Consider the following 16,320-nt stretch of genomic DNA (forward strand, 5'->3'; position numbering starts at 1 on the left):
TCTAGGTACTAGCTGGCCAATGGTGGACATCAACTGTCAGAATTTCCAGAGCCCTGGTAAAATTTCCAAAGTTCCATGTCCTCCTGAATTTTACCTGGTCATTTTGGGAAACAGTGAGATATAATTTATCCCTGAGTGCCATTTAGACATTGTGATTTTAACTTTAGGACTCCAAATTCATCTTTTTGATTAGCTAGAGAGTCCACTCAAAATGCAAATAATTTCAAGTCCCTCCGGGTTGGAGGAAAAGATGAAGGAGGGGAGTAAATATAGGTACTTCTTATCCACTAAGAAGGCCAATCAAGACAACTGGTTTTGTCCTGGCCTCTAGTCCAATCACCCTGGACAAATCATCTCCATTTGTTTTGATGATCCAAAAGTACAGATGCTCTTCTACTTTGTGAGGTAAATGTGTGCAGCTCAACACTAGGATAATGAGGCAATAATATTTATTATTTAAATACTATGAACAGTTTTAAATTTATTTTCTGTTAAAGCCGATTTTTCCTCCTTTTTCAGAAAATGCCATTGACTTGGTGCCTAGGTATTGGTATCACTCATCTCCCTTAACTTTGGTCCACCTGACCGCCCAGTTCAGGAATTCCAGGGTTGGCTTTAGTGTGGCTAGATGGACGGGCCCCTGGGAGCCTGTTATGTGGCTGATGCTGGCGGATAGATATTTTCTGGGTGGAGGACCTACTTTCACATCACTTCAGAGAAGTAACTTTGCCCACTGATACAGCTGGCCCTACAACTAGGTAGAGGGGGTGATAAATAGTGGAAGGTAGAGGGTCTTGGCAGTGTGGAGGGGCGTACTTTCTTCCCAAGTCCACAGTGGCAGGGAAAAAGCCATGTTTCTCTGGGACATGGAAGTGACTTAACCCCTCACAAGAGGCCTTGAGCAGCTCTGTCTGGCACAATCAGCACACACTAGACCCTGCTTCCTCCGTTGACTTATGCTCTTTGCTTTAGGAAGGGTTTTATCCTTTTCTCTAAAGTCCTGTCTGGCCAGTTCCGCACTCTGGAATCAAAACACCCTTCTCTTTCCCCTTGCCTTGGAGGTACCGCCCAACACCCTATCTCCATGGTAATTTCTTGTTGCCACTTATTTTTCTCCAGACACACATTTCTTGACCTACAGTTCCAAGTGTGCTTTGCTGTACTGGGGGGCTTTCTAGAGAACGATGTGCAATCAGCTAACCCTGGCACTCAGGCCTGGGGGTTTGGGCTCTAGCCCCCTCCCTGGCCTCATCTTCTTTCCTCCCCTTGGTGCACCCACCCTCCGAACACCAGCTCCTTCAGTGTGCTCCCCTGCTGCCTCCTGCTCCCAGGCCTCTCTGGTGCCATCCCTGCTGCACGGGGCACCCTGTGTCCATGCTCTGGCCACCCTGAAGTCCTGATGAAACACTCCTTCTTCTTGAAAGCCTTTCTAATTCTAACTGGGCAGGGCTGCTTCCTTGTTCTGGAACTCTTCACTCATGTTTCTTTGATGGAATATATCTAATGTTGTCTGCATCAAAGCTATTACAATTATTTGGGTACATATCAAATCTTCCTCTTAAATTCTGATGCCCTGTATGTCACTGAGTATGAATGCTGTTAATACGTTGTAGGTTTAAAGACATTTATTCAACTGACACTTGTCTTTAGTAGCCAGCCCATCTCTTCTTTGGGTGGTGTCTCTAGCCGAGAATGGCACCTCAGTCTCCAGACTGCCCAGGGTTCTCCCCTCACCGCACAGCCATTTAATCACCAAATAGATCGGGCAGTCCATTTAATGCAAAGATTCTCTGACATGTGTGTCCAGATGTTCAGACGGAAGCAGAGATTCCAGCTGCCACTCCCCAGCCCTTTCTCTATCACTGTTTAGGACCTGTGATGTCCCACAGCACAGAGCTGGGACCACTGCTTTCAGGTGTGATCCTATCTTTTTAAAATTTTTAATCAGCGAATTTTAAGAAACATAGAACTTGTAAGCCCCAGAAGACAGAACCTCTAATGATGACATTTCAGCCCTGCGCCAGATAGGGGTAGAAGGGATACTTTTGTGAATGAGAAAACATTCAGATTCTCAAAAATCCACACTCTGTGAGTTATTATTTGCTTTACCTACTCATGGTGGTTAAGAAAGCAGCAACAGGTAATACCTTCAGATTCATAAAGTCACAGGCAGTCTGGTTCATTTAAACTTGACATGTAGAATGGATTAGAAACCACTTTGATCTGGTCAGCCTGAGGCCACATGGTTGTATATTAAATCTTTTGTCTCAAGGACCAAGGGCATTTTTTTTTTCCGTTGAGAAAAGTACAGTCCACTCAGAGGTGCTAAAATAAATCCCACATTTTTTTTTCATTATTTTCTGGAATAGTGTTTGAATGATGGGCAAACCCTCAAGTGGAGAATTTGCTTTCACACACGTAGCAGCTTCAACTGCTGAGATCATGTTGTTCAGCACCCATTCTAATCCACATGGAAAGGGGCACGGGGGTGTTGTGGGTGGGGAGGGGTGGTGCAGCTCTGGGCCCCAGGGGTCTTGGGAGTGATCCATTTCTGGATGTCTGCATTGTGTGGGGTCCCGTCATTCACTCTGTCACTTGCTCTGACTTGAGTTCGCTCTCCAGATCGATTTCATTTTCTGCCACCATGGTGAAGATCAAAGAGGGATCAAGAGATACAGAGGAAGGAAGCAGAGAGAGGAAGAGAAAGAGAGAGAGATTAGCAAGCAAAGCAGAAACAGTTTATGCAGGAAATACAGAAATTACTCCACCAGAATTGATTAAGAATGCATAGTTTAGGTACAGCCAGTGTGAAGAACAGTTTGGGATTGTGGAATTTGTATCGTTCTGAGAATTTGCAGAGTCATACATCCTGGCTCATGAGGATTATAAAATTCTGCCCCTGGAGGGAGCTTTGCCTGCATCTGGTCCAAACCCTCACTTGACAGCATTTAGAGTAGAACAGGGCTTGTCCCGGGGTCACCACAGCAAGGTGGAGGCAGGGCCAGAACAATGACCCATAATTCCCAGCTTCTTTTCTAGTGCACGTTTCTTTACCACAGAGTGCACCCCTCTTGTCTGGAAGCAGAGATTCCAGCTGCCACTCCCCAGCCCTTTCTCTATCACTGTTTAGGACCTGTGATATCCCATGGCACAGAGCTGGGGCCACTGCTTTCAGGTGTGATATCTATCTTTTTAAAATTTTTAATCAGCGAATTTTAAGAAACATAGAACTTGTAAGCCCCAGAAGCCTGGGGACTCTCGACTCCTCAGTCCTGTCCTTGCCTCTCCCCTAGGACCTAGCACAGTGCCTCGTACAGAGAGATGCTCAATAAATACCTACAGAGTGAGCAAAGATGCTGGGTATGACTGAATGGGAATTCTAATAGTCTTAATCCAGCCTATTTTGGGAGAATAGGGTCATATCAGGGAAACAGTTTCTCTTTACTACAAAATGACAGGGTGTTCTGTTGTATGCTAATGTAAGTCAGGGAAAAATTATTAATGTTTCCTACTTTCCAAAAATGTGAATGAGAGAAATGAAACCACTTCCTAGTGAGGGGATTGGGTTGGGGCAGGAGGAGTCCGTTTATCTTTTGCATGTTTCTGGCCCTCCATGGGTATGGTATGTATATTAACCCAGTTAATCCCCACAGCAATCTTGAGGGCAGGAAACTGAGGCCAAAGAGTCTGAATACACTGATTACAGCTGAGAGGGACTGTCAGCTTGTAGAGTCTGCATTTGTATCTAGAACTTCCTAATTCCAAAGCCTGATTCTATCCAGGACACCCCATATCCTCCTTTACCTTCTCCTTCAACATGGCCCTTGCTTTGTTCTGCAGAGTGCTTTGCTTAGAACCCAGTCACAGCACTGCACCTCGAGCCTCAGATTGGAGGAGGTGGTGGCTGTGGCCACCACCACTTGAGTTCCGCCATGCCCGGACCTTGTCTTTTCCGTCCGACTTCCCTATGGAACTCTGTGCAGGCATCCAGTCAACATTTTTTGAAACATTTTGTTAAAGTCATAAAATGCCCCCTCCTTCCCCATGCTAGGCTCTGACTCCAGCTACATCATATGAAAAGGAAAAATTTCATCATATGAAAAGGAAAAGAACAATCGTATTTTACTTCAAAGTTCTTCCTGGGATTTGCGTTAAGGGAATGTCCCCCTTGGGACAATGGCAGGAGATTTGTCTGCCTGCTGAATCAAGGCCATGTAGGAGAAAGGGAAGAGGATAGCGCTCCAGTTTGCATGAAAATTCATGAAAGGAAGATGGGTGGGACCAACTCTAATTCGTTTTTGTTTGTTTGTTTGTTTTTTCTTTTTTGAGATGGAGTCTTGCTCTGTCACCCAGGCTGGAGTGCAGTGGCACGATCTCGGCTCACTGCAATCTCCGCCTCCTGGGTTCCAGCAATTCTCCCGCCTCAGCCTCCCGAGTAGCTGGGATTACAGGCGTGCGCCACCATGCCTGGCTAATTTTTGTATTTTTAGTAGAGACTGAGTTTCACCATGTTGGCCAGGCTGGTCTCGGACTCCGGAACTCAAGTGATCCACCTGCTTCTGCCTCCCAAAGTGCTGGCATTACCAGCGTGAGCCACCATGCCAGGCTCTAATTCTTGACCTCACCAAGCCATTGTAAAGCAAATTCTCCCTTCTCTCTCCCTTCCTTCCCTGACTATTTCTGTCACTGTGCCTCCTCTCATCAATGTTGGCCATAATAAGTTTCTAAAACTGTGGTCCTTATAAGTCTTTCATTGAAATCACCTGGGTGTTGAGGGGTGGTTGCAGGGGGTGGTGGTGAGGTGAAGGGGTTGGAAGCCTGTATTTTTACAAAGCTCAGTAGATGATTTATATAGACTATATCATTTTAAAACCACTGGCACATATTCTAAAATATAAAGCTAGTCCAAACTCCTTATTTTATAGTTGAGGCGAAGGGTCTTATTCACAGTCACAGAGTTGGTTAGGGGCAGAGCCAAGGCAAGAACTCTGGGTCCCAGGAGCCAGTGAAGAGCTGTATCCTCTGCTTCATGCAGGCCCACTGTGCTGATCCCACAGCCCTTCCTGCACAGCCCTAAATCATGAGCTGTCTCAGAAGATGAAGGGGATATGGCTGATGGCCATGTGAAGACTAGCAAGGTCACTCAGCTCTGGGCACCAGCACCAAACTAGTTTCCTGAATTAGCAATTGCCAAAGCTGGTTTTGAACCTGGACACGTGCTATTCCTTTAGTAAGTCTGGCAACCCATCCGTGGGCTGAAGTAAAATTGGTATTTAACAAAGTACTGGGCCCACAAGAAGTTTCTTTTGGGATTCAAACATCTTATTGCCAAAAGGGGCACTGATACTCTTTTTTTTCCCAACCCTTGTGTGTCTGTTAAATTCCTGCTCCCATCCCCCTTAGAGTGCTCCTGCCAAGCTTTCACCCTTGCATGCTCTGCTCGGATCCCGCCAGTGCTGGGGAGCTCAGTATCTTTATAACAACCCATTAGGCTTTCTTACTTTTACAGGTGGGAATCTTGTTACTCCACGTCCCATCCTTCAGACACTCAATCTGGAATGTGTCCATCTCCACATTATCCTGGGAAGAGACAGGAAGAAGGGAGTGGGAAGAAGGAGGTGGGGGTGGTGTCAGGGGTTTTTTCCTAGCAAAACCAACTCAAGCTCCACACGTGTCTTGATCTCGACTGAGATTTTCCACCCATGGGCTTCCAAGGGTGAGCTTGAAGGTAGGGGAAAGATACATGCTGAATTCATACCTCCTTTTCATACTCTGGAGAGGGGCAAGGGCTGTGTGCAAGAAGGGGTTTGGGCAACTATCTCTGAAGGGAAAACGGTAAGCATTGACTCCTTTTTCAGAGCAGTGCTTCTCAAACCAGGGCAAGCGGTCAGCATCTCCTAGAGAGCTTGTTAAAACATAGGCTGCTGGGCTTCTCCCCCAGAGTTTCTGATTCAGTGAGGCTGGCCTACCCAAGCATTTGCATTTCTAACAAGTTCCCGGTGATGCTGAAACTGAACACCCCTCTTTGAGAACCATTCCTTGAAAGCGATGGTCCTCTAGCTTGGCTGCACCAATCACTGGTCCCAGCCCCAAAAAGTCTGCTTTAACTGATCTCAAGTGAGAGCTGGGAGGTGATTTTTTTAAAGCGAACCATGTGATTCCTAGAACTACTGCTTCTGGGGGTGGGAGAGTGAGGGGAACCCATCTGTTCCTTTTTTTATTTTTTGAGATGGAGTTTTGCTCTTGTCACCCAGGCTGGAGTGCAAAGGCGTGATCTCAGCTCACTGCAACCTCTGCCTCCTGGATTCAAGTGATTCTCCTGCCTCAGCCTCCCAAGTAGCTGGGATTACAGGCGCCCGCCACCACACCTGGCTATTTTTTGTATTATTTAGTAGAGATAGGGTTTTGCCATATTTGCCAGGCTGGTCTCAAACTCCTGAGATCAGGTGATCCACCCGCCTGGGCCTCCCAAAGTGCTGGGATTACAGGCATGAGCCACCATGCTCAGCCCCATTTGCTACTTTTAAACTGTTTACTTCCTTTCCTGGTATCCCACTCCACTCCCCTCTATAAGCCCGATGAACTTTGTTACAGTTCTCAGCCTTGATTATAGAGCTGTATGGATCCATATTTTAAAAATTCAAACCAGCTCATGCTCTGATTAAAAAAAAAAAAAAAACAAACTTTTGTGCCACTTTCAGAGTGTGAGACCGCCTGGGACGCATGCTTTGGAATTTCTGGAGCATTTGAGAAGTTGATGGGCAGCTAGGAAATTCTGTGCTGGAACTATGACAAGTTCTGGCAGCCCATCTGCCCTGGGGAGGGGCAGGTTTCGAGAGTTTCTGTGGCCTGGTCACTCCCCTTTCCCAGGCAAGGCTCTGCACCTTCAGCACTTTGTAGCCTGTGTCACAGCTGACGAGCACTTGGTCTTTGAAGAAATACTTGGCTTGGGAGGGCTCGATTTTCCCATGGACAGGAGGCTGTAGCTCTGGGCACTCATTTCCTGGTGAGGAGCAAATGAAAGAACAGCAGGTGAGAAAAGAGAATTCTGACCTTAAAGGGCCAGTCCCTAGAAAGCAAGGCCTGATGAAGGTGAATAAAACATGGAACTGGGTATTGGAGGCATGGATCTTCCAAGCCCTGCAAGAGACTAATTCTGGAACCGTGAATAGGGCAGTTTCCAACTTGGACCACCATGTCCTTACTTGTAGAATGAAATGGTTGACCAGATGATTTCATTAAAACACAGGGTTGGGAGGAATGTTAAATGTCATTAAATCCAATCCTTGTCTGATGCTTCTCTTAAAATATCCTCCGCAGTAGATGCCAAACAGACTGCTCAGCTAGGAGCCCCACCAGGTCCAAACCTGCATCCCTCCTCCCTCAGCCACTACCTGCATCTTTCCTCCCTCAGCCACCACCCCTGGGAGGGCTAAGCATGGCAGCTCAGGGACACAGTGACAGGGAGCTCAATGCCTCCCTAACCTTTCAGGCACGGACTCTGCTGATTACATGAACACTGCATTCCTACTTAACTGAAATTTGCGCCCCTGTAATTTTCACTCATTTGTCCTCTTGGGCCACCAAGGATGACCCAAATTGCTCTTTCTTCCCGAGGCCCTTCTTCAAAGCATTAGAAAGACTGTGATCATATGCCTCTGAGTCCTCTCCTTGAAAGGCTAAATCTGACAGGCTCTTCAGGCCTGGGCCTATCCCTGACACTTTTTCTGAGACAAACTCTCCTTTGTTAAGATCTTCTCTACTCTCCCGCATCTGAGCAGTGTATGTGATAATGCAGGCAGGGCCAGAGTTTTAGTTTATGAACTAGATTAGTCATGCCCAGCTGCGATCTTTTGTCACTGATGTTCACCCTCTCCTTCCTTGGGTTCCTACAGACCAGTTACTGCAGGTTGAATGGCTCGATCAAGGTTTGGGCCAGGACTGGCTGACTTGGGGGATGGGGGCATGAGACCCATGGGCTTTGCTGATGGGGGGCCCACAAGGAGGCAAAGCACCATAATGAAACATTCTGGGCTAGAAACCCACATCCAAATTCTAGCCCTAGACTTGGAGAAGGCTGGAGCTGAAAAGGCCCTCCTCAAGTCTACTGAATCACTGTGTGAGGGGTAGAGTTCAGGAAACAAGATTTCTTTTTCTTTAATCTCTCTATGCGATACTGAAGTACATGTTTTGAAAACCATCAGTCTAGTCCACCCAACATTATTGTTGCCCTTGCCCCCATTTTATAGATGGAAAACTGAGTCAGGAGAAAGCACGTGCCTTGGTCCCCAGCTGCTCAACTGGGAGTCCCATCAGGTCTCCAGAGGAGATCCAAGCCTGCACACCTCCTCCCTCAGCCACTGCCTCTGCAAGGGCTAAGCACAGCAGCTCGGTGTGACCTGGGAGGGAAGAGGTTACCTGCAGCCCTGTATGAGAGCCTCCAGCCCCGGTTCTCTCCCGAGTTGTCACTATGGAACAGGATCAGGACACTGTGGCTCTGGGTGCTGATGGGTTCTGGGGCTTTCTCTCCACAGAAAGGCCCCAAAACTTTTGGACCAACTTTGATCTGCAAAATATGAGAGAGAGAGAGAGAAATAGAGTGTTCCATCTGAGCAGCCAAAATGGCCACTGCAGGTAACACCTCTCCACTGCACTCTGGGTTTTCTGGAAGCTTCCATATGAACCCTTGGTATTCACTTAGGTTTTTAGTGAGCCTTACCATTCACCAAATGGTTTCATCTTCATTCTCTCTTTTATAATTTACAATGGCTCTTGACGTGGACAAGGCAGGTTAATAATCCTCTACTTAACTATTTACAATAGCGAAGGTGTAGAACCAACTCAAATGCCCATCAATGATAGACTGGCATTGATGTGGCACATATACACTGTGGAATACTATGCATCCATACAAAAGGATGAGTTCATGTCCTTTGCAGGGACATGGATGAAGACGGAAGTCATCATTCTCAGCAAACTAACACAGGAGCAGAAAACCAAACACTGCATGTTCTCACTCATAAGTGGGAGTTGAAAAATGAGAACACATGGACACAGGGAGGGGAAGATCACACACCAGGGCCTGTCAGGGGGTGGCGGGGCAAGGGGAGGGAGTGCATTAGGACAAGTACCTAATGCATGTGGGGCTTAAAACCTAGGTGACGGGTTGATGGGTGCAGCAAACCACCGTGGCACATGTATACCTATGTAACAAACCTGCATGTTCTGCACATGTATCCCAGTACTTAAAGTAAAATTAAAAAAAAATCCTCTGCTTAAAGATGAACGTATTGTGGCTCAGAGAAGGGCAGAGTGCTGTCTGGTGCATAAAGCAGAGATGATCTCTGCTGTCAAAGAACCTGCAGTCTAGTTGGGGGGACTAATAAGAAATAATAAACAAAATAATTGTAGGCTGTCATAAGGGTTATAAAAATAATCAAGATGATATGCATATACAAAAGAAATATATGCTGTATGTTTATAATTGATGTAAAATCTATGTAACCTATAGAAGTAATCATTCCTATAATGGTAATATAATAGATAATAACTTTAGGTAATCAAGGAAGGCCTTTCTCTGAGGTAGCATTGGGGATCTGAGATATGTAGGATGAGTATGAGCCTATTTGAAGAGAAGGGAAGAACACTTTATAGGGAGAGAAAACTGCATATGTAAAGGTCAAAGCCAAGGGTGGGAAAGAGCTTGCCTAGTGTTAGGAACAGGCAGGAATCCAGGCTGGCTGGGCAGTGGGAGTGCTGTGGCATGAGGTTGGAAAACAGACAAACGCCACTTTGTGTTGAGAGATTTAGGTTTAATTTCAAGTGCAAACTCGATCGAATCTAGCTTTTATAAAGATCACCCTCAATGCTATGGGAGAATAGATTGTGTAGGGCAAGAGTGGAAGCAAAAAAACAAAACAAAACAAAAAACAGTTGGGAAGTTTTGCAGCTGAGCAGGAGGGAGGTGATGAGTTTGCAGGAGGTTGGGGGCAGTGGGGGAGAGAAGGCAATAGGCTCTATTATCTGATCCGGATTCCCCACCTCTCAGTCCTGGTTCTTTTCCATGTCTTTAACCTGTTTTTTCCCCATCTTTGAGGGCCATGACTCCTTATCTATCATTTGGTGACTTCTGCAATCCCAAGTGATATCTTTGTCCTGTCCTTATTGAGGAGAGGGGAAACAAATGAAGCCCCAAGAGGTTGTGTGCTTGGGTGAGGCTCCCATGTGTAGCTTCTGGGACACCATGGCAGGCAGAATTCTAGGGTGGTCCTCCTGACCTTCACCCCTAGTGTTACTTTGTGATGATGTTATGTTAAATGGCAAAAGGGATTTTGCAGATGTATTAAAGTTATTCATTAGTTGACCTAAAGTGAGGGAGATTATCTGGGTGGGCCTAACCCAATCACACGAGCCCATTCAACACAGTTTCCTCCTGCTGGTAGCAGCAGCAGAAGTCAGGGAGATTTGAAGTGTAATAGGAATTTGATGGAAGGGACTGTCTCTGATGGCAGGGGCCAATGTAAAAGTATCTGAGCGCAACTTCTAGAGCTGAGAGCCACCACTGGCTGACAGCCAGGAAGAAGAAGGGGATTTTAGTCTTACATCTGCAAGGAACTGAATTCTGCCAACAACTTAAATGATCTTGGAAGTTGATTCTTCTCCAGAGCCTCTAGATAAGAGCTCCATCAGCTGACACCTTGATTTCAGTTTCATGAGACCCTGAACAAAGAACCCCATTGTGCTCACTGGGATTTCTGACTGACACAATGCTGGGATAAGAAATTGGCATTGTTTTAAGCTGTTATGTTTGTGGTAGTTTGCTAACACAGCAAAATAGAAAACCGGTGGCCTATGCTTCCTGCTAACCCCCTCCAGTCAAGCTGCCTCTTAGCCTCTGTACACAAGTAGGGGACAGCCCAGGCTCTAAGTTCTAGAGTTTTCTTCTGTGTCCTCTCAGGCTTTTCTGCCTCTCTCACTGTTGACAGCTTTCTCCTGGGCAGTCTCATTTTCTGGCTCTTTCTGACCTCTTCTGTGGGTTCCTCTTCCTCCATCTAGGTCTCATAATCTATTATGTTCTAGCTTCCTTTTTTTTTTTCTAGGACATCCCGCCATTTCCACAGTTTAAATCAGCACCTCTTTAAACATTTCATGGCACCCATCTTTATCCCCAGCTCAGGGTCTCTTCTGAGCTAGACCCTAATATTCAGCTCTACTTGGATGTCTTGGCTGATCACTCTATAAGAATTGCTGGTTTTACTTTCCACATATCTCGAAAATATCTCCCCCATTATCCCAGCCATGGCTCAAATTCAGGCTGCCATTCCTTCTTAATTATAATATTGAAATAACCACAAGTTGAGTAGTTATTTGCCTGTGGTATTTGTTCCGTCTTTATTTGCCTTTGACATAGCCTCTTCCCGCAAGTGGGCCCAGCAGCATAATTTGTGAGGTCTGGGGCAAAATGAAAATACGGGGACCCTTATTTAAAACAAATTAAAATTTTCATACATTCTTCTTTGCCTTGGTAGTAGGTTAAAAAAATAAACAGAAGAAAAATAGTTTCATATGTTTATTAAACCAAGCATGAGGCCCTTCTGTGCACAGGGCCCTGTGTGACGGCATGGGAGGCGTGCTCATGAGGCTGGGCGTGCCCGCCAGAGACCTTTCTAAAATGCAGATTCACGACTCTCCTCCTCAAGCCACCCTAGTGGCCAGTGGGGTCATTTCGGATCAGAGATTCCTGGAATAGATCTAACTAAGATGGTAGATATTATTTTAAATAATGCCTTTTTGAGGAACTAGCTGCTAGGCTCTCTATCCTGGGAGAAGAAGGTGAAGGTTCCGCAATATCAATTTTCCCAACTCAGCCAAGATTTTCCAGCATCTCCAGGACAAGTGTTCATTGCAGGCTCACCTTGATGTAGTCATAGGGGCAGGGCACCTCAGGATGGTCCTCAATGTCAAATATGTCCTCAAACTGCAGGTTGACCATGAAACCCTCCTCCAGCTCGATGGTATACAGGCATTCAGAGCTCTTGGGGTAAGGGTTTGGGAAGTCAGGGCTGGTGATCACCCCAGTCCTTTGAGTGAAGAGGTTGTCACTGCACTCCACTGTTGGAAACATAATAGAGAAAATGGCGCATCGCAACCACAGCCATAGCAAGCCTGGCTTATCTGTTACTATATGATTTTCCCAATGGTCCCAAGCAGTAGACAGGGAAGGTATCGGCATCTCCATTTTACAGATGGGAAAAATGAAGCTCAAGGTCGCATGTCTAGTAATTTACCGAGCTGAGATTCAAGCACAGATTTTCTAATTGTCTGTCCAGGGCTGTTTACCCTGTGTGAAGATCCTTCTCATCAGATCCTCTGGTATGGGGGTCAGGGAGAGGGATCTGAGAGGGAAGGGTTTTGAGATGGAGTGGTCAGGGGGATGCCTGGACCTCTGTGATCATGTCCTCCCTGTACCCAGAACTTCAGGAGATCCCTCATCTCCTACAGGCCCTTGACACACACCCTCACTCCTCACTGTCTAACCCCTGTCTTTGTTTTGTTTTTCTTTATAGTGCTATTCACTCTGTTCAACTAAATGTAGCCTTAAGCTTCCTTCTTACTTATTTTATTTTATTTTATTTTATTGAGACAGAACTTTACTATGTCACCTAGGTTGGAGTGCAGTGGTGCCATCTCAGCCCACTGCAACCTTCGCCTCCACCTCCACCTCCACCTTCTCCCAGTGATCCTCCCACCTCAGCCTCCTGAATAGCTGGGACGACAGGCACGTGCTATAACACCTGGCTGATTTTTGAAGTTTTTGTAGAGATGGGGTCTTGCTATGTTGCCTAGGCTGATCTCAAATTCCTAGACTCAAGCCATCTTCCTGCCTTGGCCTCCCAAAGTGCTGAGATTACAGGTGTGAGCCACCTCGCCCGGCCTCCTTACATATTTTAAATTCAGCCTGAAGGGTTCTGCGTACATGGTGAACTGCAACCTAACTGGATTTTTAAGTAGACTGTAATCTACTGTCTTACTGTAAACTAAAAATAAAATCCTAAGCCCTCCACTGACCTAATGGGCCCCCTGTGGCAAAGGATCTCCAGAAAAACCTTAAAACGGAATTCCTGGCCATGATGGAGTGGTAGGTTAGACACTCCTTCTATATCCCCTTTTCTCTGCAGTTTGGACACAACAACTGACCAACATTAATGTTAAATAGAGATCATGAGAGTGAGAAAACAGACTCCTTGTGGAAATAAAATACCAAATTATAAATGATGAAGGAACTAAGGCCATGCCAGGCAAGGGTTAAGTCACGCATCCCTACACTGAAAGCATAAACTATGTTCTAACGATGCTACAAAGTTTTTCTTTTTCTCCAGCAGCTGAACAAGTACTGGCCTTGTGGTAAGTGATATGAAAACAATTTTCAGCTCTACCAGATGCTGACTGTCTGATCCCCACCCTGTTCCACCAGCCATAACTGTAGCTTTGAATGGACAAGACATTGATTTCAGTCACTTTCTTTTGATAAGAGACTTCTGACCATGGCCTGGTTCTCGCCAGTTTACAGAGGCTGCACACCTGAATGTCTCCCATCCTGAAAGGACGTTTAGACCCTAACTGTAATACATTTAATGTGAAGTCTCCATCCCAAAGTGAACATGGGTCATGTGTTGCATACATATTTGTTTAATATGCATGTGTCAGGACCACTCTTATGAATATTCACAGCTCCTCCTATAACCTGTTGAATATGTATGTTTAGCCAACCTGTTCAGCATAAAGCTCCTATCTCAACCCCTCCTCCTTTTAAGTGCCTGTCTCTGGTCTTGGCTGGAGGTGGTGCTTCCCAGACTATGAGGACGGCCACCTGCTGTAACCCTTCATAAGGAATAAAATCTCCTCTCTTTTTCTAAACTTACAGATTTGTAATCTTGATTTTTAAGTTAACAGTACCAATCACAGAGTTTTGGCCAGTCACGGGTGGCCATCTGTTCAAACTGCCTTCAAACAAGGCAAATACCAAGCTGTAAGTAATTTGGCTGTTTCTGTACCTGACTTCCATTTTCTGTCCATCACTTTCCTTCTACTTCCCATAAATATTATCCAGCATGAGCAACCCTGGAGTTGCTCTGAACATATTCTGGTGGTGGTAGGGTGGGTGCAGGGGAGGATTCTCAAATTGTTCTTTGCTCAGTTAAACTCTGTTAAATTTAATTTGTCTGAAGTTTTTCTTTTAACAGCTCCCTATATTGATTTTCTTGCTCCCAGTAGACTGTAAGTTCTGTGAGTGCAGGAATTCTGCTTCGTTCCCCACTGCATTTACTGCACGCGAGAATCCACTGTCCTGGGAACCCAGACGTGACTTTAGCCCTGCTAAGGAACATTTATGTGTCACTAAGTCTTTACCCTTGGGCCAGTTCATCCTAGATCTGGGATGTCAATGTTTCTACGCCCTTGTTCATTCTGCTTATTTGCAAATGAGAAAACTGTAGTTCTGAAAAAGGGGTCTTGACTATCTTAAAGTTTCACAGCTATGAGCTGCAGGACAAGGTGAAGATGGAAGTCTCCTGAGTTCCTGACTGTTTTCATTTTTTACCCCAAGCATTCTCATGGGGGCGATCTTGCCCTCAAGAAAGCTAAAATTCCTTCTTGGTGGGGAAGGTCTTGCTTTTTAAATGCACAATACACAGATGGACATACAGTACATAAACAGATATATAGTCTATCTGTGATATTAAAATTTCATGGTGGGGGCCTTAGGAAAATTATATTTAAAAAAGCTCCTGGTGAAGGGTGAAAATGAAGAAAATGAGTGAGAAACCTTGCTCTGCCCTAAGCATTCTTGGCCCTGACTGTACTGAACACATAGTAGATACTCAAGAAGAACTTAACCGAATAAAAAAATAGAAAATATACACTCTTTAAGAAAAATCCTGCACGTGCCTGTTCTTTTGGTTTTGGATTGCTTTATACTGATGTGTTATATAGGGTTTTATTCAGAAGCAAATAGCAGGTTTTGAAGGAGGAAGAAAAAAACTTTTGTCTCCAGACTTGTGCTCCCCCAGTGATCCCTCACTCAGCTTCCAAGTGAGATTTCAAGCACAGATGCTTATCCTGGACCACACTAATCTATTGACTGTTCCCTGAAACATTCCAAGTTCTACCACACTTCTGACTGTTTGCAGAAGCTCTTCTCTCTGCCTGGAAGGCCCTTCTTCTCTTTATTCTTTCATCTCTGTCAAGGGTCACAACTCTGGGAAGTGTTTGCCTGCACAGGTCTGATTGTGCTATGTCCATACTTCCATTACATAAATGTAATGGAAACATTAATGTTAAAATGGAGACCATAAGACACTTCACCATTTGCTTACATGCCCATTACCCCACTAGCCCAAGAGCTCCTCCTAGAAAGTGGCTAAACCCTTCCATTTCTCCATCCCTCCCTAAGCACGAGACTATAGCATAGTAGGTACGTTGATGATAGATGAAAACAAAGATAGATAGAAGGAATGGGAAGTTTTCTGGCTGTTTCTGTTTGCCTCTTTCCTCTCTCACTTCTTTGCTTTGGACTGAGGTCTCTCTATTGTAGAGGAACTTAGGGGCCATGGAAAAGAAGAGAAAAGGAGTTGCTGGGTAAAGCATAATTCGTGGCTCAAAGAGAAGGAACTGGGAAACCCAAGTTTTCCCCTAACTTGACCAGACCAATTGCCTACAATAGGATAGGAGACAGCAACCTGTATAGTGAAAAATGCTGCCCCAGAAAGAAAGATGGCCAAATAGTCTAGAGCTTCTCTCCTTTGGGAACCCAAGATCAGGTTTCCAGGCTGGGTGGGCATTTCTGCATCTTCATCCATGTGGTGTCTGAGGTGCATCATTGACTTCATTTTTACTTGTTCCTATTGCATATCTGTCTTTCTCTGAGCCTCATCTAATGTTATTGAGGATGTGGCCTATAAGGGCAATGCATACAATCATTGGTAGGCTCTACCTCGGCAGGTCCTGTTGTCTGTGTGGAGGATGTAGCCGAAGCGGCAGGAGCAGTAGTAGCCGCCAATGTAGTTGTGGCAGTAGTGGTCACAGGACAGCTCCTCGTCCTCCCTCTCCTTGCACTCGTCCACATCTGTAGGGCAGGTAAAGCCTCTCCATCAATACATGCATGATGATGAAGACTACAGCCAACATTTATAGAGCACTTGATATGGGCCACTCACTATGTTAGGAGATTCATGCGTTCTCTCATTTAATCCTCTCATACAGCCCAGAGGTAGCCATTATCTTCACTTTACAGACTAGGAAACTGGAACTCAGAGAGGTTAG

The 16,320-nt window shown here is 45.5% G+C and overlaps 1 protein-coding gene across 4 annotated transcripts in view; it reads right to left on the reverse strand.

The window, feature by feature from the left end:
• Positions 1 to 16,320, reverse strand: part of MASP1 (MBL associated serine protease 1) — a 74,456-nt gene that overhangs the window by 27,468 nt on the left and 30,668 nt on the right. For 3 of the 4 annotated variants that reach the window (NR_033519.2, NM_001879.6, NM_139125.4), the window contains 5 exons: positions 15,992 to 16,123; positions 11,915 to 12,111; positions 8,419 to 8,566; positions 6,885 to 7,003; positions 5,502 to 5,580 (listed from right to left, as the gene is read on the reverse strand). Coding sequence is in view for 3 of the 4 variants with exons in the window: in NM_001879.6 (NP_001870.3) it covers positions 5,502 to 5,580; positions 6,885 to 7,003; positions 8,419 to 8,566; positions 11,915 to 12,111; positions 15,992 to 16,123 (675 nt within the window). In the remaining variant the exon portion in view is untranslated. Of the gene's footprint in view, positions 1 to 1,610; positions 2,637 to 5,501; positions 5,581 to 6,884; positions 7,004 to 8,418; positions 8,567 to 11,914; positions 12,112 to 15,991; positions 16,124 to 16,320 lie in introns of those variants that run through there. The other variant, NM_001031849.3, reaches the window with a different exon arrangement.

The sequence above is a fragment of the Homo sapiens genome, chromosome 3 (genome assembly GCF_000001405.40).
Source record: "Homo sapiens chromosome 3, GRCh38.p14 Primary Assembly".
NCBI classification, from domain to species: Eukaryota; Metazoa; Chordata; class Mammalia; order Primates; family Hominidae; genus Homo; species Homo sapiens.